The 24,741-nt window shown below is 38.8% G+C and overlaps 2 protein-coding genes and 1 pseudogene across 2 annotated transcripts; all 3 read left to right on the top strand.

The window, feature by feature from the left end:
* KRTAP13-6P (keratin associated protein 13-6, pseudogene) lies at positions 866-966 on the top strand (annotated as a pseudogene).
* KRTAP23-1 (keratin associated protein 23-1) lies at positions 9,135-9,342 on the top strand. Its single transcript, NM_181624.1, has one exon. It carries the CDS (start codon positions 9,135-9,137, stop codon positions 9,330-9,332), a length of 198 nt encoding a protein of 65 aa, NP_853655.1. The 3' UTR covers positions 9,333-9,342.
* Positions 9,343-20,046: 10,704 nt separating this feature from the next.
* KRTAP27-1 (keratin associated protein 27-1) lies at positions 20,047-20,728 on the top strand. The gene has a single exon (NM_001077711.1). It carries the CDS (start codon positions 20,073-20,075, stop codon positions 20,694-20,696), a length of 624 nt encoding a protein of 207 aa, NP_001071179.1. The 5' UTR covers positions 20,047-20,072; the 3' UTR covers positions 20,697-20,728.
* Positions 20,729-24,741: the final 4,013 nt, after the last annotated feature.

Raw genomic sequence — 24,741 nt, 5'->3', positions numbered from 1 at the left:
AAGCAATTCTCCTGCCTCAGCCTCCAGAGTAGCTGCGATTACAGGCACCCACCACCACACCCGGCTAATTTTTTGTATTTTAGTAGAGACGGGGTTTCACCGTGTTGCCCAGGCTGGTCACAAACTCATGAGCTCAGGCAATCCGCCCGCATCGGCCTCCCAAAGTGTCGGGATTACAGGCATGATCCATCGTGCCCAACGGAGATTACTTTTTAAAAGTATTTGGCCTGAAATTTCCATCTTCTTAACTGATGTAATTTAAGTCCCCTTATATAAGGCATTCTATACCCATCCAGCTGGTAAAGAGAGTCAAGTAGAATTTTTTTTTAATAAAAGTTTTTCAACTTTTTTAGAGTATCATGATCATTTCTACCTCTTATATTAGTTGTTAGTAAACATAAACATGCGCTTGGTAATATGGCAAACCATATCAGGAATGACCGAGAAAAGAATCACAACAAAATATAAAACTTTAAGCAGGGAGGAAAAAAAATAGCTATATCTCAGCATCCTCTAAGTGATCCTCTCAGTCAAAAATTAATCTGCCAATGATTGACCAATTGCTTTGACCATGCAACAATCATCTGAAGTCCAAGACTGACAGTAAACTGGCTTTTGGTTATAAAACACAGGTATGCATATTTATGATGGTGTTAATCTATTCAGCTGAAATTGGACAACACACTAAGGAGATATTCTTAGTCAAATTGTAAGGCAGAAGAATAGTAAAGCTGGGCATCTAAAACATCATAACCACAGGGTCAGAGCACATAAGTTTCTAGGCAATAAGGTGACATTTACACACCCTTTGACACTAATAAAAAGTGAATCAGATACAGCAGTCACACATTAAGCTGCTACACTGGAAACTTCTTTTCCTGCTCACTTGGGGAACTCTTGGTCTACTCGGTCTAATCCTGTGTCTCTTCTTACCCCAGCTACTTGGTCCACCCCACTGACCTCTGCTTTTCTAGTTTCCACCAAGACGGGTCTCTCTGTAAGACTCTCAGATGAGCTACTATAAGCCCTCCGGCAGACATACATCATGCTTTCTACCACAGGGTGCTTTCTAGGCTATGAATTCAATGGATTCCAATCTTTAAGTTATAGACCCAGTAGTACCCAAAGCTTGAATTACGGTCCCAGCTTCTTGCCACCCAAACTACTTCTCTACTAAGAAAAGCCTGTCAACTTGCTATAGACCAATGTACAGGCATGGCTTCTACAAATTGGCTTAATGCCTCTTCATACACTGCCAGGAAATGCTGCTTTCCCTCATATTCATCTCCACAAACGCCGTTTTACGAACTGGTTGACCATAAACTAGTTCGTTTCTCTTAGAGAGACAGGTTCTGTCACCATTATATGATAAAAAAAAAAAATTGAGAAACTACACTAAAAATTTATGTCTGAAAATTGAAATTATATGTAATAGAAATTAGGGGGTATTTCATGTGCTCGTTAGTTTACAATGTGACAGAAATGCTATTATTTAATAAAGTAATCTTTTAAGGAATTCAAGTATAAACAGTTTTTCCTTGAGCTTTTTTAAGTTGTTGGCTTACTGAAGTTGCATGATTTTTACTATGACGAATTACTATTTGGATAGCTTGGCTGTTGATTTTGTCAGAAGCAGTGTGTAAAGTCAGAGCAAGGACAGCCAACTTTCTACAAGCAGGGAAAAAATCGTATAGCCTACAATAATTTTTAATCCAAGAATTACTATTTTTCTACATAAAACACTAACAAGATTCAAAATAATTCAGGATATGTAAATGCAAAGGATCTAAGACTCTATTTAGCTTTGACTAGTAGCTTCAGGGTCTGAAAGAACAGCAAAAGTGATTGAATTTAATGGACTACGACACACTTTCTCTAAAGTCACTTATCTTCTATTAACATACTTCCACTCATTTTCCAGAGAAAGATTAAGACATGCTTCCTTCAGGGATAGGGCTATCTCTCACTCACCTCCCTATTCTCACCTCTCACCACAATGCCTACACTTCACTGCATGCTTGCTGAATTGACTTGAAATGAATCTCTCTAGCTTTCAAATTTCACTTTGCTATATTAAAAAAATTGGACAGGATGGTTCAGTTTAACAAGTCTTTATTTAGTATTCAGACTATAGATGGTCTATTATAGCTAAGTTAGGGTGCAAAGGAATAGAAGCAAGTCTGGGCCAGGTGGTACTGATTAAGAGGGCAGTTGAGACTCCTCTGAGTTTACTGTTGTAAAGCATTCAAGAGGAGTTTAGAGGTCTAGGAACAGGATAAGATAGGAGATATTCAGCAATGATAAAACCAGTAATTATCTAGTTTATCATTAAGTATTTATTGAACAACAACTTTGACTACTCTTGAGCTGAGAATTTAATGTCAAATAAGAAAGAACACAGATAGTATTTGCCTCCAACTCAACTTTAGATATTACAATTCAGAGATGTGTCATTCAAAGAGTGGATCATAGATCAGGGTACAGGGTAAAGCAGGTATATTTGACATATGATTTCCTTAAGCTGAAATTGTTAATCATGCAAGACTTCTTAAGGAAGGTAGCCATGCATTCATTTGCATATTGATATACACACTTAACTTATGGCCAATTGGTGAACTGTCATGGACTGGTTTGTCTAGTAGCACTGCTCTAGTCTAGAAGACAGTCTAAGAAATAAACAATTTTTTTAAATATTAGAATTAAGTACAGAGATAAATTACAAATCACAACAGGAGAACCTACTTTATCTTGAGATATAATGTATTGAGGTGAGAAAAGGCTTAATTATTTTCATCCAGATGAAGAAAAAACATTCAAGGCAGAGAGAAGAGTGTGTCCTTGGATTAGGAAAAAGCTTGAGATACTTTAGTGTGGAACAAAGACCAGTGTGTTTGTGAGAAAGACAAAGAACACTGTATGAAGATGAAGTCAGAGACATGAGCAGGGACTCAATTACACAGCTTTACAGATCATATAGAGGATTTGTTTCATCCTCAATGTACGGTAAGTCAACCAGGAAGTTGTAATCAGGAAAGTGAAATGACCAGATTTTTGTTTTCAGATCAGGCAGAAAAATGGCAAAGAAAAGAAAGGAGAAAGGAAAGGAAAGGAAAGGAAAAAGGAAAGGAAAAAGAATAGGAACAGTAAAGGAAAAAGGAAAGGGGAAAGAAGGAAGGAAGGAAAAGAAAGAAAGGAAGGAAGGAAGAAAGAAAGAAGAAAGGAAGAATGAAGGAGAGAGAGAAAGGAAAGAAAAGAAAGAAAAAGGAAGAAAGAAAGAAAAAGAAAGAAAGAAAAGAAAGAAAGAAAAGAAAGAATGAAAGAAAAAATCAGGCAGGAGTGTAGAAGAAAGACTGGAGGAGACAATTTTTTTTTTAAAAAGAGAGGCAGAGAATCTTGGACATTATTTTTGGTTGTTCCACCAAGAAAGGAGACTACCTTGGACTAGGACAATGCCTTTCCTCCAGGGCTAATTTTGCTCTCTCCCCTAGGCAATTTTCAGAGACATTCTTAATTGTAATTTTAAGGGGGAGTTGTGCTACTGGCATCTAGTGGGTAGACGCCAAGAATACTGCCAACTATCTTACAATGCACAGGATATCTCCCCACAACAAAAAACTATCCAGCCCTAAATGCCCCTGGTACCAAGGGTGAGAAATCCTGAACTACACAGAAAGCAGTAATAGGACTGGATAAATGTAAGACAGATTTGGGAAAGAAAATGGCCAATCCTCAGGGTAGATTGCGTATGTTAGGAGGATTCCAAATTGTCTCAGTTAAACAACTAGATAGGTGGAAATGCAGTTTACTAATAGGAAACAAAAAATGTTTCTGCCTCACAAGAGAAGAGCAAAAGTTCAATGTCATACACATAGAAGTTCAACACCCTTATGAAACCTTTAAGTGGAATGGCAAGAAGTACTTGGGTATTTAGGTCTAGAATTAAAAAAGAAAAAACTATACAGACTGGAAAGATAATTTGAATATTTCAGTGTCACAGAATATGGATGGTATTTGAAGCCATGGAAGGGAGATGTCTCCTCTATAGAGAGAATATGTCCAGGGATCAGCGCCAAGTCTTAAGGAATATTATGAAAGAAATCCAACTAATAGTAACAAAGAATTAGGTGAAAGTTAGATAGAAGACTAGAACTGTAATCTCATGGAAGTATATAGATGAACAAGATTTAAGGTTAAGGACATAGTCGCCTGTGTTGAATATGGTTAAATGTTCACATGGGATAATCCTAAAAATGTACATCACGTATGGCAGCATTGAGGCTACTGCTGACCATGTCAGAGCAATTCCAGAAGAGTTTTAAACCAGACAGAAACAAGATGGTAATTGTATTAGTCCATTTTCATACTGCTGTAAAGAACTGTCCAAGACTGGGTAATTTATAAAGGAAAGAGATTTAATTGACTCATACTTCAGCATGGCTGAGGAGACCTCAGGAAACTTACGATCATGGTGGAAGGCGAAGGGGAAGCAAGGCACCTTATTCACAAAGCGGCAGGAAGGAGAAGTGCTGAGTGAAAGGGGAAGAGCCCCTTATAAAACCATCAAATCTTGTGCTAACTCACTCACTATCAGGAGAACAGCATGGGGGAAACTGCCCCCACGATTCAATTACCTCCACCTGGTAATTCCCTTGACACACGGGGATTTTGGGGATTATTGCAATTACAATTCAAAATGAGAATTGGCCAGGGACACAAAGCCTAATCATATCAGTTATTGAAAAGAGAATAAAAAGTGAGGTAGCTGACAAGCTGATTCCATACCTCTTTAGATAATTCTGATATAAAATAAGAAGAGCTATATAATCATAGAGAAAATGGCACTATTTAAAATTTTTGGATTGAAGAAGATTGAGCATGGTTATAAGGCTGAGAATAAAAGAACCATTACAATGAAAGAGAATGAAGCAATTAGAAAGAGAAAGAAAAATAATTTAGGAAGGCCCCAAAGGCAATTTTGCTTGGGATATGGATTGAGGACAGATATTGAGGATCACTTCAAGCACTGAAATTTGTAAGAGATTTTGATTTTTAAAATGAACATATTGATACAGTCAAAGTAAGGGAAATTCAACATTTCAAAGGAGACATATTCAATAATATGTACAAATATGAGATGCATGCTAGAGGGCCATGTTTATGGAAATACAAAGTGAAGAGAATATACAATTTCTCTTAAGGTTCATGCATTTGCATCATGTAAAGTGCAAAAGTAATTACAGTTTCTGCAATTACTTTTAATGTCAAAAATCACAATTACCTTTGCACCAGCCTACTGGAAGAAAGAATTGGACTCAGAGCCAGGGACATGCATTCCAATCCCAAGCTTGCAGCTTTTTGACTGCATGACATCATTTCCTCAGATGACAAATTATTATTCTATGATTATAGCTCCTTCAATGCTATAAAGCATTAGTGTGAAATCCACGAAAGCACTTTCAGATCCAAACAGCTTTATAAAAAGGTGACATGAGTGATGCAAAGTATTTCGGCAAAATTTCCTAATTCAGTAAATATATAACCATAATATTTGATCTTTCTCAAAATTTATGGAGATACATAGATAGATAGATAGATATACACACATCCATAGTGAATATATATTTAAATGTGTTTAAATTCTTAGAGGGATGTCTTCTAATTTACTTAATAAAGAAGTGGCTCTTTATATTTAAAACTATTGTATAAAGCCGGGCACAAGGGCTCATGCCTGTAATCCTAGAACTATGGGAGGCTAAGGTGGGGAGCCCAGGCATTTGAGCTCAAGCATGGGCAACATAGAGAGACCACATCTCTACTAAAAATTAAAAAAACAAAAAGCCAGGCCTGGTGGTGCCTTCCTGTAGTACCAGTTACTTGGGAAGCTGAGGTGGGAGGATCTCTTGAGCTGGTGAACTCCAGGCTGCAGTTAGCCAAGATCACACCACTGCACTTCAGCCTGGGCCATGGGAGTGAGACCCTGTTTAAAAAATAAATAAATAAATAAATAAATAAATAAATAAATAAAACTATTGCATTGCCTTAAGTTACATATATGAAGAATTTTACTTTCTGAAAAAATTATAGTGGTATCTATTTTTAGAAGAGTATTCCAAGTTCCAAAAGTAACTTACGTACATTTTTAATTTTAAAAAATTGTAGTTATTTTTTATCTTTTAAAAAATTACATTGAGTTTGAGAAATTATAAAATAGCTGAGATTAATAGTGGCTATAATAGACTGCTGGACATCCCCTAAATAACATTGATATGGCTACAGGAATAGAGGAAAACTAATTAAAAGACTTTGATACCACAGTGATTCAGGAAAGCTGCTATATAGCTGGTTGTGATGGAGAATTTGAGCTAAGAGAAATGCCTGGGTAGTGTGTACGGTCTTTGCATCTGTAGTATAATGGAAAGAAGCCATAATTAAAATACTACTGCCATGTAAAGTTGTACCCAGACTTCTGGCTAACCTAACTGAGCACCTTTACCAATTATGGTTTATTTGATCCTGTTGCCTTGTGTAATGAGAAGAGAACAAGTGCACATTCACATACAAGGACTATAAAGATTGTTCAGAATATTCCCCTACGCACTAAAACCATAATTTCCATCCTCCGTTCATCTTCTAAGAGGTGCTCTATCTTAACAGGCCTTGGTTTACTGGTTATGATTAACTTGGGGATATATTCATTATAAAAGATAGATTTAATATTCATTTCACTTTTAATTAGAGGTAACTTTAAAAGCAGAAACATTATTTTCACATGCATACATTTATCTTGAGTGAAAGTAAAATAAAAGTTAATTATTTGATATAAATAATCTATGAGCACCCATGATGTGCCAGGAATTAGGTCAAAGAAGACTAAGCATCATCACTCACCCCACAAAACTTCTGTGCATTGCGTTCTTCGTTCTTCTCACATATGTAATTTCCCTGCAAGCTGAAATATTATTCATCCTGCATGAGCCATTTCAAAGTACATCCCTTGCAAATCCTCCACAGTGTGTGTGTGTGTGAACTAGATTACAAAATACTGAGATCTTTGTTCCTGAAGAGCTAAGTCTAGTTGAGATGAACACCTATCTGATAGGAGGAGTTTGATTTTGGCATTGAGGGATGAGAAGTGTCAACCTAAAAAGAAACTCACATATGCTCTTCAGAACAAATGAGTTTTAATTGGAAAGAGCAGCGAAGTGCAATCTAGGAATGTGCATGCTATGGTGGATGATGGATCATAGGCACATCCAAGGGGTTAGGGCACAGGAGAAGTTTTTAAATACAAAGAGAGGTCCAGGTAAGCTGCTTTGAGACAAGTTCACGGGTCAAAAGCTCATTGTAGGAGTTGACATTTGTTTATTGGTAAAGACAGCTGTTGCTAGGTAACTGTCCTGGAACCTATTTATCTGGAATAGTGCAATTTGAAGAAGGTCTTGTGATAACCCTTGTTACAGGCATGTGTGCACGAGGATTTTTTTTGTGGCCTCTCTTGACCCCATTTTGTTAGAGTTTGACATAAATGACTCCATTTTGGTACATCTTTCACAAAGGGATTTGGTGCAATGTGAGCAATGCATTTGGTAGAAATTTGTTAGCAAAACAATGGACAAAATATTCCATTGTTGCCAGATAAGCAAATATTACAGGAGATTACAAAAAACAATCATCTATGAAACAGTTTGAAAAGATCAAATTACATAAATAGCTTTTTGCTTTCCAATTTCTAAAAGATGCTTGAAGGCAGAAGTTGGATATGATAACAAGTGGGGAAAAAGACATTTCTAATTCCAAGATTTTTCTTTATACCACTGATGTTTTATAGTGGTAAAGATAATTTTAACCACTTAATATAATGGTAAATTTTATGCTGCTTTGTCTTCCTAGAAGGATGAACAAGAGAAGCTCAGCAAGGAGTGAAATGAATCACTCTGGAAGGTGTCGTATTTCTCACTCCCAACTGAGTTGGCAAAAGGTCGGCACCCTATTAAAATTCAAGCTTCTGCAAATGTATTTTATTGGTAGTCAACTCACTAAAGGCATATCAGTTTTTCGCAACTAGTCCCAGTGAAAGTCTGTGTTTGCCAAAGAATTTTCTGCCTCACACTGAAAAAGAATCTAATAACTCCATGGTGGATAAAACATGAGTTGCTTAACTAGGATAAACTGAGTGAGAGGGCAAATAGAAGATAATTTGTAACAAAGCATCTCCATAGTAACTCTGAATACTAAAAAAATAACCAAAATCAATTAAGAAGCTGTCCCCTCAGTTGGCTATATTTGGGGAATTCATAAAAGGGGTAAGAATACTCAAGTAGATATATCAGATGAAATGCAAATATTAACACCTTGGAATTTTTTTTTCACCTGCATACTCAATTGTCCATGTGATTCTGGGAGCAGAAATTACAAGCTTCACAAATTGTCTATATAGCTCTGTGGTTTGTGCTAGCCTTAAAGACAGACACACCTGGGATGACATGGGGTCCATGATTTGTTTGATTTATTACCTGAATGTTACATAACTTTTCCAAACCTCCATGGCCTTACTTCTAAATTGTTTATGACAACTTGTATCTCATAAGATATTTGCAAAGATTAAATCATACCACACTTTTAAATGTTGCGCATGTAGTTAATGCTTAATAAAACATATGTAAATAATGGGGGGTGGGTGGCTGCTGATTACTGTTGGGAGTACATTGCTGGTAAGAATTTGTAGGCTGAAGCTCAGAATACCCACAGTCAAGCTCAGTAAAAGGGGTGGGGAGGCACTGTATGTATCATCACCAATGTTTCTGAAAGCAAACCAAACCTTATTTCTGCAGAGAGAGAGAGAGAGAGAGAGAGAGAGAAAGAGACAGAGAGAGAGAGAGAGAGAAGCCAATGGGCTTCTATAAACTGGAATGATTACACTGCTGTTAAAGACAAATGAATGTGTTGAGTTATAATTATAACCTAGGTTACTTAGTCATTTGATGAAAACACATTCACAAGAATGGGGGGGTTCCCGGATACTGCATCACGCCCAGCAGTGTGAGGGTGTAAACATCACTGGATCATTGGGCACAGGCAGGGACATCAGGGCATCTTCTCAATGCAGCTCAGCTGAACTCACATCTCCTGTCAACATGTCCTACAACTGCTGCTGTGGAAACTTCTCCTCCCATTCCTGTGAGGGCTACCTGTGCTACTCAGGCTACTCCCGTGGTGGCTCCTCGTACCCCAGCAACCTGGTCTACAGCACTGAACCTTTGATCTCCCAGCACCTGCCAGCTGGGTTCCTCTCTCTGCAAGGGCTTTCAGGAGACTTGCTGGGAAACCCCTAGCTGCCAGATGTCCTGTGTGGAGTCCAGCCCCTGCCAGACCTCCTGCTACCGCCCCAGAAGCTCCGTGCTCTGCAGTCCCTGCCAGTCGACTTACTCTGAGTCTCTAGGCTTTGGATCCAGCAGCTGCCGCTCCCTGGGCTATGGATCTAGGAGCTGCTACTCAGTGGGCCGTGGGTCCAGTGGCGTCAGATCCCTGGGTTATGGAGGCTGTGGCTTCCCTTCCCTGGGCTATGGATCTGGATTCTGCCACCCAACATATGTTCTCTTTAGGACATTCCAGTCTTCCTGTTACAGACCAACTTGTGGATCTGGCTTCTACCGATCAACTTGCTAAGGGCTCCAAACCTCCACATTACAATTATTTCTCTCAAAGTCCATCTCAGCTATCATCTGGCTAGAACCTATATTCTACTATCCAGAAAAGATAATTGTTTTAAACTTATTAATATTAAAATAACATTTCTCATAGAATACTCATCTCTTTTTCTTCTGTTTTCTTGTATTTTCCCTTCCTTCTCTAGTTAAAAATGGAGCAAGAGTTGATTTCTTTTTCTTCAAATAAACTCATTTAATCTGATATCAGATCACAAATCTTGTGTTAATTTTCTTTATAAGATGTCTGTCGGGAATTTGAAACCCCCACTTTTTGTCTAAAAATAAAATATTCACTTTGAGGGAAAGGAGTAGGTTCCTTGATAGGCAGAGTTTTCTAACAACAGAGATCTAGTTCCTGGGAATTTCTGCCAAGTAGACTCAGAGATAGGACAGGAGATTATCTCTGTTTTTCTATTCATGGCCATTTAGGCCTAATCAGGACACTTCACTTTGGTTAAGCTACTCATGGGTCTAGTCTAGGAAGAAAATATCCAGAGACAGCAGTGATGTTTTAGCAAGTACTAGCCTGGCTGTTTTTATGAGAACATTATCAAAATCCTTCCTGTAATCTTCCTTCCCAGACATATATAAGCCACAATGAAATTCTGAGGTCAGGATTTTAACTGAGTTCAGTAGCAAGTGTAATGAAACAAATAGTTTAGGTATACATGAAATTAAAGATGTATGCATTCCACTATAATAAGAAGAATATAATATCTAAGAGTTTTTTTTTTTTTAATTTGATGGTTCACTCCCTCCTCCTTTCATTAGGTCACTATAAAGCCATCCGGTGTTATAATAGAAGTCACCTGAAAACTGTCTGAAACCTGGCAGTATCATGCATAGGTGACACGGACTGAGAGATAAGACTTTACCTCTTGATATCCTGGGCTTGTATCTGGATGCAAAACTAGACAGTCCATTATATTCTTACATTAAGTGGAACACAGTCATATACATTTTCAAATATCTAAATGGAGGTGGGTAGCTCATCGTTCACTGCTCTCACAGCTGTTTTCCTTCTCGCTCTTCTTTCTATGGAAATTGGATTTTGTTTGTGCATCCCTCCTCGTCCACACATAGTCCTGCAAATGAACGTGATTATGCCTTAGGCTTAAGGATTGAATTTGGCTACTCTAGAGCGCCCCAATGCCTACTGAAAGTGATTGGCTCAGGAATGAGCATGTGATCTGAGGTAAGCCAATGAGAAACAAGGAGCCATGTGGAACAATGCTTCTGGTAAAGTTCCTTCTCTGGGGTTTCTTTCTTTTTTTTTTTTTTTTTCTGAGATGGAGTCTTGCTCTGTCACCCAGACTAGAGTGCAGTGGCGCAATCTCGGCTCACTGCAAGCCCCGCCTTCTGGGTTCACGCCATTCTCCTGCCTCAGCCTCACGAGTAGCTGGGACTACAGGCGCCTGCCACCATGCCTGGCTCATTTTTTGTATTTTTAGTAGAGACGGGGTTTCACCGTGTTAGCCAGGATGGTCTCGATCTCCTGACCTCGCAATCTGCCCACCTCGGCCTCCCAAAGTGTCTCTGGGATTTCTTAAAACGATTCTCTCTACCTCTGGACTTTGTTATATGTGGAATGCTGCATCCGTTTTGCATATGGCCTGAATTTTTTTTTTTTTTCTTGAGACAGGGTCTCCCTCTGTTGCCCAGGCTGGAGTGCAGTGGCACAATCTCAGCTCACTATAACCTCTTCCTCCTGGTTCCAAGTGATTCTCTCCTGCCTCCAACGATTCTCTCCTGCCTCAGCCTCCTGAGTAGCTGGGATTACAGGTGCATGCCACCACGCCCAGCTAGTTTTTGTATTTTTTGTAGAGATGGGGTTTTGCCATGTTGGCCAGGCTGTTGACGAACTCCTGACCTCAAGTGTTCTGCCTGCCTCAGCCTCCCAAAGTGCTGGGATTACAGGTGTGAGCCACCATACCCGATCTAACCTGAAAATTAAACCATCAAATGAAAGAGGCCAGAACCAAGAGAAATGCAGGAGGACAGAACCTGGACCATCTCACTTCTGGACACTGGTTTATGTAAGCCAATAAAATTTCTTATCGCTTAAGCCATTTTGAATTACAATTTCTGTTACTCGTAGATAACATGTTTTTAAATGAGACACTCATTTAAAACCTTCAACAATCCTCCTTCCCAATGAAGACCCCTTAATATAATTGCAAAGCCCATTTGCAGCCCATTTCTGCCTTCCCTCCAGCCCCTTTCAAAGCTCTTGGGTGACTAGGTGCATAGTCAACGAGCACTAATATTTTGAAAGGAATCTTTCTTTAGTAGTAGGTCTCAACCATGGGCTTCAAATATTCAGTAAACCATGCTGTAAACAGATGTGCTGTCATCCAGGCTTTGTTGTTCCTTTTACAGAGCACAAGTGGAATAGATTTACAATAATACTTAAGGGCCTTGTGATTTTCAGAATGGTAAATGAGCATTGGCTTCAACTTGTCACCAGCTGCATTAGCCCATAAAAAAGAGTCAGCCTGTCCTTTGAAACTTTGGAGCCAGGCATTGACTTCTCTCTAACTATGAAAGTCCTAGATGATGTTATCTTCCAACAGAATGCTCTTTTATCTACATTGAAATTCTGCTGTTTTGTGTAGCCACCTTCTTCAATGATCTTGGCTAGATCTTCTGGATAACTTGCAGCAGTTTCTCCATCAGCACTTACTGCTTTACCTTGCACTTTTATGTTATAGAGATGGCTTCCTTCCTTAAACCTCATGAATCAGCCTCTGCTAGCTTCTGACTTTTCTTCTAAAGCTTCCTTACCTCTCTCAGTATTCATACAATTGAAGAGAGTTAGCGCCTCCCCCTGGATTAGGTTTTGGCTTAAGGGAATGTTGTGGCTGGTTTGATCTTCTATCCAGGCTGCTAAAACTTTCTCCATATCAGCAAGGAGCTTGTTTTGCTTTCTTATCATTTGTGTGTTCATATAGAGTATCATTTTTTTCGTTAGTATAGGTTAGCACTTTTAATTTCCTTTAAGGACTTTTCCTTTGCATTCACAAGTTAGCTATTTGGTGCAAGAGGCCTAGCTTTCAGTCTATCTCAGCTTTCAACATTGGCTTCCTCACTAAGCTTAATCATTTTTAGCTTTTGATTTAAAATAAGGGTATGTGACTCTTCCTCTCACTTGAACACACAGAGGCCATTTTAGGGTTATTGATTGGACTAATTGCAATATTGTTGTGTCTCAGGGAAGAGGGAAGCCTGAAGAAAGGGAGAGAGACAGGGGTGTACCATTCGATGGAACGGTTGTAACACACACAACATTTGATTTATTAAGTTTGTTGTCTTATTGATATGGGAGGGGGCAGGGAAGTTCTGGGTAGAGAAAGGTGGGTCCCTGGCTATGGCTCCACCCCCTGGGCCTGTGCCCACGGACCTAGGTGAGGACAGCCATTTCTTATTTTGTGCCGAAATGTTGCATTACCCAAGACCACTTGTCCTGCCACGCCCCCATCCTGTACCTATGAAAAACCCGAGACCCTAGTGGGCATGCACACAAGCAGCTGGACGTCAAGAGGAACAGACTGGCAGAAGACACAAGTGGCTGGACGTCAAGAGGAATGCACTTGTGTAAGAGCACACTGACAGACACTGGCAGACCTGCAGACCGTCAACCAGCGGAATGATGCGAAGTTTGGCCGGGGCAGTTAGAGGAGAGCCCAGCCACTGAACGGGCCCAACTCCAGGGTAAAACCACCTTCCCACTCCATCTCCCTTCTGGCTCCCCCATATGCTGAGAGCTACTTCCACCCAATAAAACTTGCACTCAACTCATTCTCCAAGCCCATGTGTGCCCTGATTCTTCTGGTATACCAAGGCAAGAAACTCTGGGATACAGAAAGCCCCCTGTCTTTGTGATAAGGCAGAGGGTGTAATTGAGCTAACACAAGCTGCCTATGGACGGCTAAACTGAAAGAACACCCTGTAACTCATGCCCACTGGGGCTACAGGTGTAAACATTCAACCCTAGACACTGCTGTAGGGTGGGAGACCCACAGCCTGCCCATCTGCCTGTTCCCCCAGAGGTCTGAGCAGGGGCTCACCAAAGAAGCGAGCCACAACCCCATTGCATGCCTTGCAAGGGAGAATAAAAGAACTTTTCCCATTTCATTATGTGGATGTGGTTCGTGGTGCCCCGAAACAATTAACAATAATAACATTAAACATCACTGATCACAGATCACCATAACAGATAAAATAATAATGAAAAAATCTGAAATACCGCAAGAGTTATCAAAATGTGGCAGAGACATGAAATGAGCACACACTATTGGAAAAATGATGCCGATAGCCTTGCTTGACTCAGTGTTGCCACAAATCTTTAATTTGTAAAACATGCAATATCTGCACAGTGCAACAAAGAAAAGCACAATAAAATGTGGTATGCCTGTACTCAATAAAAGATAAATAAATATTAAATAAATAAGTGGAATTGAGCCAGGTGACAGTCCCAGGATATGTCAATGACACATCAAACTCGCATTCATTTTTGCTAGTGGAACTCTTTTTAGATAAGCTAGTTGTCACAATCCTCTGATCATCATCATCACAATTGATTTAGCACAATCTCAATATCTCAATGACACACTGTCACAACTCCAGCGCCTACAGAAGTGAGACAAATCAAAAACCAATTCACATTTCTGGATCACCCAGAAATAGAAAAATAACTTCACTCAAAGATAACCTCAGAGGAAGGCAAGAACAACTACATCTGGGAAAAGAAGCAAAAAACAAGTGTATAATTACTACAGTAAACTATAATGCTTTCATATCCAAGATATAATGGAACAAAGAGTCGGAAAATGTGGACTATAATGCTCAGATGGTCAAAACACCATGGTTCATTCTTTTCTCCAATTACTTATTATTAAGAGCCGCATAGACACTGTGTAATCCTCCAACTTTTATGTTTTACTTCTTTTGTTTTTTGTTTGGCTATTTGAATTAATGTGTCGTATAATTGAATTGTAAATGACCAAGAACTAGCCAAAGAAGCAAAATTATTTAGAGATAGTCTCAGAGAACAAATGATGTCACATGTGATTTATTTTATCATATAATAAAATATCTATTTCTCATTAGAAACAGAGAAAGCTGGCAAAATACTATTTCTGTGTTCCACATAAGAATTTTGAAGTATTCTACAACTTAAATTTTTTTTTCTATATGCATTACAGTGTCTGAGAAGGGTTATATGGTACTTGACTTATTTCATAGAATGTTATGTTTAACAAAAGTTATTCATTTCCCTCAAAAAAGCCTCTTTTGGGATAGACTAACGTGTACTTGACTGCAGAGATATACTTTTATTTATTCTCAAGAGTTGCTGTCAAATACTATAAGATTAATACTATAAGAAGAATTAATATAAGATTAATACTATAAGATTAAATACCATAAGATTACTAATTTTACAGTTGTGGATATTGACTAGCATCTGTGGGAACTAATAATGTACTGACTTCAGTCTTTGGTCTGTCCTGTTAAAATTTTATATGTAATCTTAATAAAGATCAGATGGTCTTAAATGTAAGTGAAGATTTCATTCAATAGACAGATTTGACGAGATGTCATGTAATGTTAATTCTACGTTATTAAGATTCTGACCGAAAATTATAGGATGTGACAGGACCTTAGAGAGCTTCTCATCTAAACTCATTATCTTGAAAGATATCCAGAGAGGTAGAGTGACTTGTCCAAATTTATGCAGTGAGTTGATGGATCCAAGGCTGAAAGCCACATCTCTTCATGCTTTTTCTAGTATTCCTCCATTGTTATGCAATGGTTCTGTATGAAACTTCTTGAATGGAGATGAGGAATGGATTAAAATTAACTTACGGCATTTGGTGAATGGAGAAGAGGAATGGATTAAAATTAACTTATGTCATTTGGTATAAGTTTGGTTGATGAGATAAAACTAAGACAAGGATGAGGTAAATAAATTGTGGGACCACTGGGATGAAGAGAGTGACTAGGCCCAAGCATGGTGGCTCATGCCTGTAATCCCAGCAATTTGAGAGGGCGAGGCAGGAGGATCACTTGAGGCCAGGGGTTCAAAACCAGCCTGGGCAGCACAGTGAAACCCCTGTCTCTACAAAATAATTTAAAATAGTCAAGTGTTGTGGTGTGAGCCTGTAGTCCTAGCTATTCAGAAAACCAAGGTAGGAGGATTGCTTGAATCCAGGAGTTTGAGGTTGCAAATTGTGATCACGCCACTGCACTCCAACCTGGGCTACAGAGTAAGACCCTGCCTCTAAAAAAAAAAAAAAATGGTTATTTTATTTCATTTCACTTCAATGTTTCTAAACAAGTGATTAAGAAGTTTAGTATAGCCATATGATCAAATATAAAAGACATATAAATTATTCAATGTTACAACTACCAAATGCTGAGCTCTTGAGAGATGGAGACAAGTTCCATCATTAATGGGAATAAGTATAATCCAACCTTTAAAGGAATGGAATGTGAAAATTAACACATAATTATAAATCAACAACATAATCATAAACATAAAAAAACTGTGCTTGTTTTTGCTTATAATTTTATATCAATCCTAGATTGATGTTATAATGAGAAGCGTCTTAGTCTGCATGAAGATTCCTAACCTGATCAGTAATAATTGTTATTATTTATCATTCAATATGTGGCAGGCAATCTGGTACCATATACAATATCTCATTTATTTTAATGAAACAGCCATGACATAGAAAACTTATGGAACCTGTTCAAAGTTACAGTTTGAGATTGTAAATATTGGCTTAGAATCCTGGCATTCTCACTCTAGAATTCTTATATTTAATTGCATCCTCATACCAAATGTTGATATTCCACCCTCTGGTGGTTAGGAGGTGCCACTGCAGCTGCAGTCATTCCAGGAGAATGATTTCAAGTCCAGGAGAGACCAGGGAATTGTTCACCCCTTTAGTAGCAAGAGTATCCAGTTACTGTATGCAATTAGGTAACCAGTTCTATCTATTTCTCAAGAATACCAGCAGATAAACTACATAGTCATAATTTTTCAAATGCTTACAAAGCTAATACTTAGTTTTTAGTAGGCTGCATGTAAACAATTCCAAGGTGACCAGTTGTCCTAGCCTACGTCATTCCATAGTAATAAACCAGGTAACTTCCTCTATAAATCCAGCAACAACCAAAATCTGTGTTTACTCACTGAATCAAAATTATATACTGAAACACTTATTAATTTGGCTCTCACTTAAATAAAATGTGCAAATGCCTCATTCCAAAGAGAAAATAACTCATGGAGTGACCTTATTCACAAATGACAGACTTAACATCACCATATGAAATTTGAAGGGACTGCCCAAGTACTCAGTAATTGGCTGCACATTGTGAAATTAATAAGAAGGCTGCTGGCTGGAGACAGTTCTGTAAATTCCAGCCTATATGATGTCCTGCCTATACCTATACAATTTGGCAAGAGGACTCTGTGTTGGTATTGAGAACTGGCTCCCATTTTCATGGTAAAAACATACCTACATGGCCAGGCACAGTGGCTCACGCCTGTAATCCCAGCACTTTTGGAGTCCATGGCGGGGGGGATCACCTGAGGTCAGGAGTTCGAGATGAGCCTGGCCAACATGGTGAAATCCCGTCTCTACTAAAAATACAAAAATTAGCCAGGTGTGGTGGTACACACCTGTAATCCTAGCTACTTGGGAGGCTGAGGCAGGAGAATGGCTTGAACCTAGGAGACAGAGGTTGCAGTGAGCCAAGATCACACCACTGTACTCCAGCCTGAGTGACAAAGCAAGACTCCGTCTAAAAAAAAAAAGAAAAAAAAAACCTACAAATAAACATGATTTTGAAATAATTGAATAAGTTTGTGCCATGGTAATAAGTAGCTTTCTTAATGATTTTGTTCTTATTAAACAAAGGGGTAGCTGAAAGATAGGCATAGTTTTTAAATTTGTTTTTCTTTGAGCTCAATACTCTTGCCAATTCTTAGAAATCTTGGAAATGTCAAAATTTCAAAACTATATTTCTTCAGATGTTTAGTTATAATTAAATTTTTACTTAGCACCTTCTATGTATGAATTTTTGAAGATACATTTATGGGAATCTGATGATATGGCAATGAGACACCATGCTCAGTGTTGGGGTTATGGAAGTGAGGAAGATACACATGCTTCTCCTCTTCATGGAATTCACAATTAGTGGCAAAAGCACAAAAGAGAAATAAATAAAATCATCATAAGTTAAGATGAGTTTTAAAAATGAAAAAATATGAGACCCTGATAATGGAATTTTCTCATATAGGATGATAGAGAGACATTCTAAGAAGTAACTCTTAAGCTAAGACACAAAAGATGAGAACTATGGATAGAATGGGAGAAGGCAGTGGAGGGGTGAAACAGACAGGCAGCTGCGTATGCAAAGTTTGGAGGCAAGGAGAGGTTTAGTGTGCCAAGGAGCTGCATGAGGCCTGTGAGGATGAATCATGTTGGGCAGAGTGACATGACAAGAGTTAGATTTAGAAAAATAGGGCCGGGCATGGTTGCTCACGCCTCTAATCCCAGCACTTTGGGAGGCCAAGACAGGAAGATCACCTGAAGTCAGGAGTTCGAGACCAGCCTGGCCAACATGATGAAACCCCCATCTCTATTAAAAATACAAAAATTAGCTGGACGTGGTGGTGGGCGCATGTAATCCCAGCTAATCAGGAGGCTGAGGCAGGAGAATTGCTTGAACTCGGGAGGCGGAGGTTGCAGTGACCTGAGACCATGCCATTGCACTCCAGCCTGGGCGACAAGAGTGAAATTCTGTCAAAAAAAAAAAAAAAAAAAAAAAGAAAAGAAAAAGAAAAAGAAAGAAAGAAAGAAAGAAAGGCCATGGCCAGGTCTTATAAGATGTTGTAGGGAAGTCTAAAGGAAAAAGATCTTATTGTAAGGACAATGAGAAGCCATTTGGTATCTTTAAGCAAGAAAGTCACAAGCTATAATGAAGCCTCTGTGCAATAACGAAGCCTCCGTGCAATAATAAATACATATATGCGTAAGAATTAAATGGGTGGCTGTAGGGTTCATGTGGAGGGCACACTGAGATCTTTAAACATACAAGTGTGGTTATTCAAAATTATAAATGACTTGCGTGTGTTACAAAGGTATTGTATACAAGATGAGTGTGCAGCCTATAAAGCTGAAAGTATTCAGATGTGCCCTTTTAAATTTATAATATCCTCAGTCTTTCAAGGAAGTGTTTGCATAAGAATTACTGAGAATTGCTGAATGTTCTTGGGCTTCTTCAGACCTTAGAAAGGGAGTCTAGTTAGTGCACTAAGACTATACTTCTATTTTATTGTCATTAGCTGAGCCAAATATATTATAGAATATGTTATAGAAATTGTGCTGGTTGGCTCTGTGCCATGAGTATGAAACTATGCTAAGAACGGTGTCCTAATGCGATAAACATAGGAACTGATCATCTGTCTGCAGTCAATAAAAAAAGCACAGAATAAAGATGAAAAATATCTGAAGAAGGTTCATTATAAAGGAAAATAATCAACCTTTGAGAAGCACAAACACAAGTAAACACACCACTTTGTCAAGTATAGAAAAAAGGAATTAAATCCATTAGTAATTCAGAAAAGGAAGAAATAACTCCTAAATGGGAAGATTGGGGAAGACTTCAGGAAAAGGACGCATTTAAACTTGGCTTTCAAGGAGATTAGGGAAACGAAATGTTAGGCAAAAGACAAGTATTTATTGGGCAATGGCCACACTCAGTACTTTGCATGAACACTGAGAAGGAATGTGATCACAAAGTCCTCTCACATTCTGGTCCACTGGAGAGAACAATATCTGAGTGGAATGAGATTGGGCTCAACCTGGATCCAATTCTAACTTTAAATGTCTTGAACATCAAATTACCACATTCTGCTACATTGGCAGCTCTCAAAACCAGTGCTAAATGTTAATCAGTATTCAGTTGGCCACTGCCTCATGCATTTCTCATTGTCCACTTACCAATGTGCAGAGTCATGGTGGCAAAAAAAAAAAAAAATGTTAGCTTGGTTGGACAGGTTTAGACTCTTATTTGACCAACCCCACCTTGAATGAGTCATCTTTGGAGCTAACATAAAAGCCATTTTGAAGATTCAAAATGGACTTACATCTTTGTTAATAAGACATCATCTGCATATATAACCAAAGTGGTAATGAGATGTTATCCTTCAAATTAGTTTAAGCAATGAGTTGCAAAGAAGTCTTGAGAAGCCAACACCCAGGTTTCTGAGTATATAATCGCCGCACCAAAGAATTTAATTTTCAAACTCAGCATGTTGAGTCCTTATGACCATCTTTAAGGATTTTTAGCAATATGCCTCATAGCCACTGCCATTCACTCAGGAGCTTCCACAATGCCCCACCACTCTCTGCCATCACACATGGCACTAATCCTATAACCTTTGAAGACAGATTGTGTTTGCCCAGCAGCTTCCATAGCAGAACCTGTTTCCTGGACAACTTTCAAGAAACCTGCAATGAAACCACCAGCTGCCAAATGACCAATTGTGAACAGGACTTATTCACAGACGATAGCTGTGTGCAAAGTAACTGCTTCCCCGGAGTTGTCCAAACTACTTACTCCAATTCCAGGCCCTGCGAAAGGACAGCGTGCCAATCAGAAAGTTCTTCAGCAGGGCTGGCTTGTGTTTCTCAGCCTTGCCAATCAGAAAGCACTCAGCAGATGGGTTTTGTAGCCCAGAGCTGCCAACCTGCAAGCCTCAAGGGAAACAGTTGCCCACCCAAGACTTCTAAGTCTAAAAATTTCGAAACTCTGGAACGTGCATCTAGCCAATGTCAGTGTCAGTCTCAGAACCCTGAATCCAGTTCCTGTAGACCTCTGGTCAATGTTGCACCTGAGCCACAACTCCTGGAATCTTCTCCAGGAGTTGAACCAACTTGCTGTGTTACTGGTGGTTCTCAATTGCCTAGTAAGTGAAGATCTGTAGGGGAGATGGCTTATATTCTCATTTGGATGAATTTATTTTTGAGATACTTAGATATTTTGTATTTCTTTAAATAAAAAATGTTGTGTGTGTTTGTTAGTAAATGAACATGTCTTATTTTACTACTGTCTCCAAAGACAAGATTTTTTTTCTTGTTTTTCTTTTGGGTATGTCTAGTGGTAATCTGGGGTTGGAAAGCATGCTAGCTATTTTAGAGCAGTAGGATACGATTTGTTATTAAGCAATAAGAGCTGTAGCCAGGAAATAACATGAATACTTAAAGGAAACATCACACTTTAACTGCAAGTTGTTTTCTTTGGAAATACTTAGCATTGGATCTGGTTTATTAAGTAATGTGCTACTAGTCTCAGAAATTCATAAAATATTGGAACCAAACCTAAAAGCCTACCTAGTCCTGTGAATTACGATAGGTTCAACTCTATCAGAGGTTGCCCAAGTAGTTAATAACATCAGAACCACAACTAAAATCCAGGCCTACTCACTGGCCATCTGTTATTTTAGCCATTGAATCACAACATTCTCAAATTAACTAGAAGATTAAGTCTATTGTTCGAATAGAGCAAGGTAATTTTGAATTTCACCTCCATGGGCTTTATAACCACGTAGCAACCAGAAGCCTTTAAATAGAATGAATTGAAGTTTAGAATCTTCACTTCATTTCGTTCCCGTTGTTTTTTTGGTTGTTTGTTTTTTTCCTGTTTTCATTATTTCTTAAGTATTTTTTGAGTTTGGAAAATATTCTTTGTATTAAATAAATTTGCTTTCTTTGGAAGCAAAATTTGGACTTGTCACACTATTATTTTTATTCAATCCTTTTGCAGGTGTTATGTTACAGGCTTTTTGTTTCTTCGTTTGTTACCTAATGAAAATAGTATAAATATTTAGAAGAAAAGAGAACATATCCTCTTGTTATAATTTTTATAGTGTGAACCAGAAAAGAATAACTCATGGTGGTAGTCAACAGAAGATGGAAAATATACTCATATGAACATCATAAGACCATAGAGTCAGATGTTTGAAATTGATTAATTTTATTTAGGTAGCTTAGCTATTCTGAAACTTTTGGTGTGTTCTTAAATTGATCTTTCAATTTTTTTTTTTTTTTTTGAGATGGAGTCTCGCTATGTCACCCAGGCTGGAGTGCAGTGGCGCAATCTCGGCTCACTGCAAGCTCTGCTTCCTGGGTTCACGCCATTCTCCTGCCTCAGACTCCCGAGTAGCTGGGACTACAGGTGCCTGCCACCATGCCCGGCTAATTTTTTGTATTTGTAGTAGAAACGGGTTTCACCACATTAGCCAGGATGGTCTCAATCTCCTGACCTCGTGATCCGCCTGCCTCGGCCTCCCAAAGTGCTGGGATTACAGGCGTGAGCCACCATGCCTGGCCTTGGATCTCACATTTTTTCAGGGCAAAATAAGGTAGTGGTTGAGAGCATGAACTCTGAATATGGATTTCCTTGAGCTGGAATCTTAGCTTTGCTTAGTGATGGCTGTTTAAGTTCCAACTGTGTGACTGTGTGCAAGTTATTTAACCACCTCAGTTTCTTCAACTTCAAAAGTGAAGGATAATAATAGGGCTACTGTGAGCCTTAATAAGTTAATAAATTGAAAGTGTAAGGCTTAAAAAATTACCATGTATATAGCATATTTAGCAACTCAGCTAGCTCAGAGACTTGGTATGGGGGAGGTAGTGGGGATTTGTAAATAAACCCAGAAATCCATGAGAGATTAGGAAAGCTAGTCATCCAACAAAAGAGAGATTAGCTGTTTTGTATTTTGGAAGATGCAGGCAGCATCATCTACTAAGGGAGAAAATTAAGAAACTTAAACGCTGTCTAGTTGAAGTAAATTGGCAAGTATCTCTGAATCTATGGCAAACCTAATGCTACTGATAATTTACCAGTTAGTTCTGAGGGTGGGTGCCATGGTAATTCTATGTATCAACATGATTGAGCCAAGGGCTGCCCAGATTAAGCATTATTTCTGAGTGTGTCTGTGAGAGTGTTCAAGGGAGATAAGCATTTAAATCAGTGTGCTCAGTAGATGGCCCTCTCCAATGTGGATGGGAATCGTTCAGTCCATTGAGGGCCTAAATAAAACAAATGGTCGGGGAAGGAGAAATGTGCCCGTTTATGTTTCCTGCAAGCCTACTTGAGCAGAGACATTGGGTTTCTCCTGCCCTTGGACTGGATTTATACCATTGGCTCCCCTGGTTCTCAGATCTTCACATTTGGACTGGAATTATATCACTGGTTTCCTTGAGTTTCCAGGTTGCAGGTGACACATCATGAGATTTCTTAGCCTCCATAATTGTGTGAGCCAATCCTTCGTGATAAATCACTCACTCTCTCTCTCTCTTCATACACACACACACACACACACACACACACACACACACACATGCATATATATACACACACATATATACAGTGAGATAAATATATATTATATATAGTCTGTCTATCTATCTATCTATCTATCTATCTATCTATCTATCTATCATCTATCATCTATCATCTATCTATCTATTTTATTGGTTCTGTTTCTCTATGTAGCCCTGAATAATACAGTGGGATAGACACAGGCCATCTCAAAGAGGAAGACTTAAGCCTAAAATCTGTAAACCACCACATACACAGGTGCTCTGTAGAGGGATAGGATTGACGGAAGTCTGAGAGAGGCCAAACACTATTCAATACCATCAATAGTACTCAGAGCCTTTGGCAGCCTCAATAGCAGAACATCCCTGAAGCAAACAACATTGACATAAAGCTTCTGTCCACAGCACTGATGGCAGTAACACAGCATTGGCAACAGTAAAGACAGAATTTATCTCGTGGCAGCTTCTCAGCATTCTAGTCACAGCCAATCATGTGAACATAGATCAAGTTCATTCACAATAAGGATTTTTACTATTGCAATGCCAACTGGGTTGCCCAGAAAAAGCTCAATTCATTTGGACCACTGTTTCTAAAGACAAGAGGGAAAACCTACCCATTCCATGTGCCTTCCAAGTATATATTATTTTACTGGGTGTAGCTTGCTGAGAAAACAGGACTTTGGCGAAAACGGGCTATGTGTGGTATGTGTTGTGGAGCAGGGGAATGCCAGGAAAGAGGGACGTGATGTTAAGTTTCACTTTCCCATCTACTCTGTTCATCATTCTAGACATTAGCTTTCCAGGCTGAGCTTGACCACTGCTAGAAAGAGAAGCTAGCTGAAGAAGGAGCCAGTATTTAATCTAACTCAACATGGAGCATATTAGAGCTCCTCATAGAAAGAAATTATGTGGACTCAGGTACAAAAAGACTTTTGATATTGGAATATGGAATGCCATAATTATATAAACCTTGGTAGAAAATTTAGTGTAAGGAAAAGGACATGAATCTTATAGTATGACTAGATCTTACTCAATTCCAAATTCTGTGTATTAAAAGCTATGTGCTCTGGGATGAATTAACATTCTTTTTTTCTTTTTCTTTTTTTTTTTTTTTTTTGTCAGTGTCTCACTTTGCTGCCCAGGCTGGAGGGCAGTAGTGCAATGTTAGCTCCCTGCAAACTCTGTCTCCCGGGTTCAAGCGATTCTCATGCCTCAGCCTCCCAAGTAGCTGGAATTACAGGTGCATGCCACAACACCTGGCTAATATTTGTACTTCTTGTAGAGATGGGGTTTCATCATGCTGGGCAGGCTGGTCTCAAACTCCTGACATCAAGTGATCCACCTGCCTCAGCCTTCAAAAATGCTGGGATTACAGGCGTGAGCCACTGCACCTGGCCCAAATTAACATTTCTGAGACTTGGTTCCATTATTGTAAAATGGAGATAATAATATTAAAGTCATTGGATGATTATGACAACTAAATGGCATGATTCCAATTAAATGCTTAGTGGACTGTTTGGCACATAATAAGAGCACAATATATGCTAGGTATCATTTGATACTTCGTCTGATATTTTTCTCTTGGGCCTCAATTTCAGTTTGTTTTTATGATTGTCTATAATGCATTTGAATCCAGG

This window comes from Homo sapiens, chromosome 21 (assembly GCF_000001405.40).
Source record: "Homo sapiens chromosome 21, GRCh38.p14 Primary Assembly".
NCBI classification, from domain to species: domain Eukaryota; kingdom Metazoa; phylum Chordata; class Mammalia; order Primates; family Hominidae; genus Homo; species Homo sapiens.
This window is presented reverse-complemented; position numbering and strand designations above follow the sequence as displayed.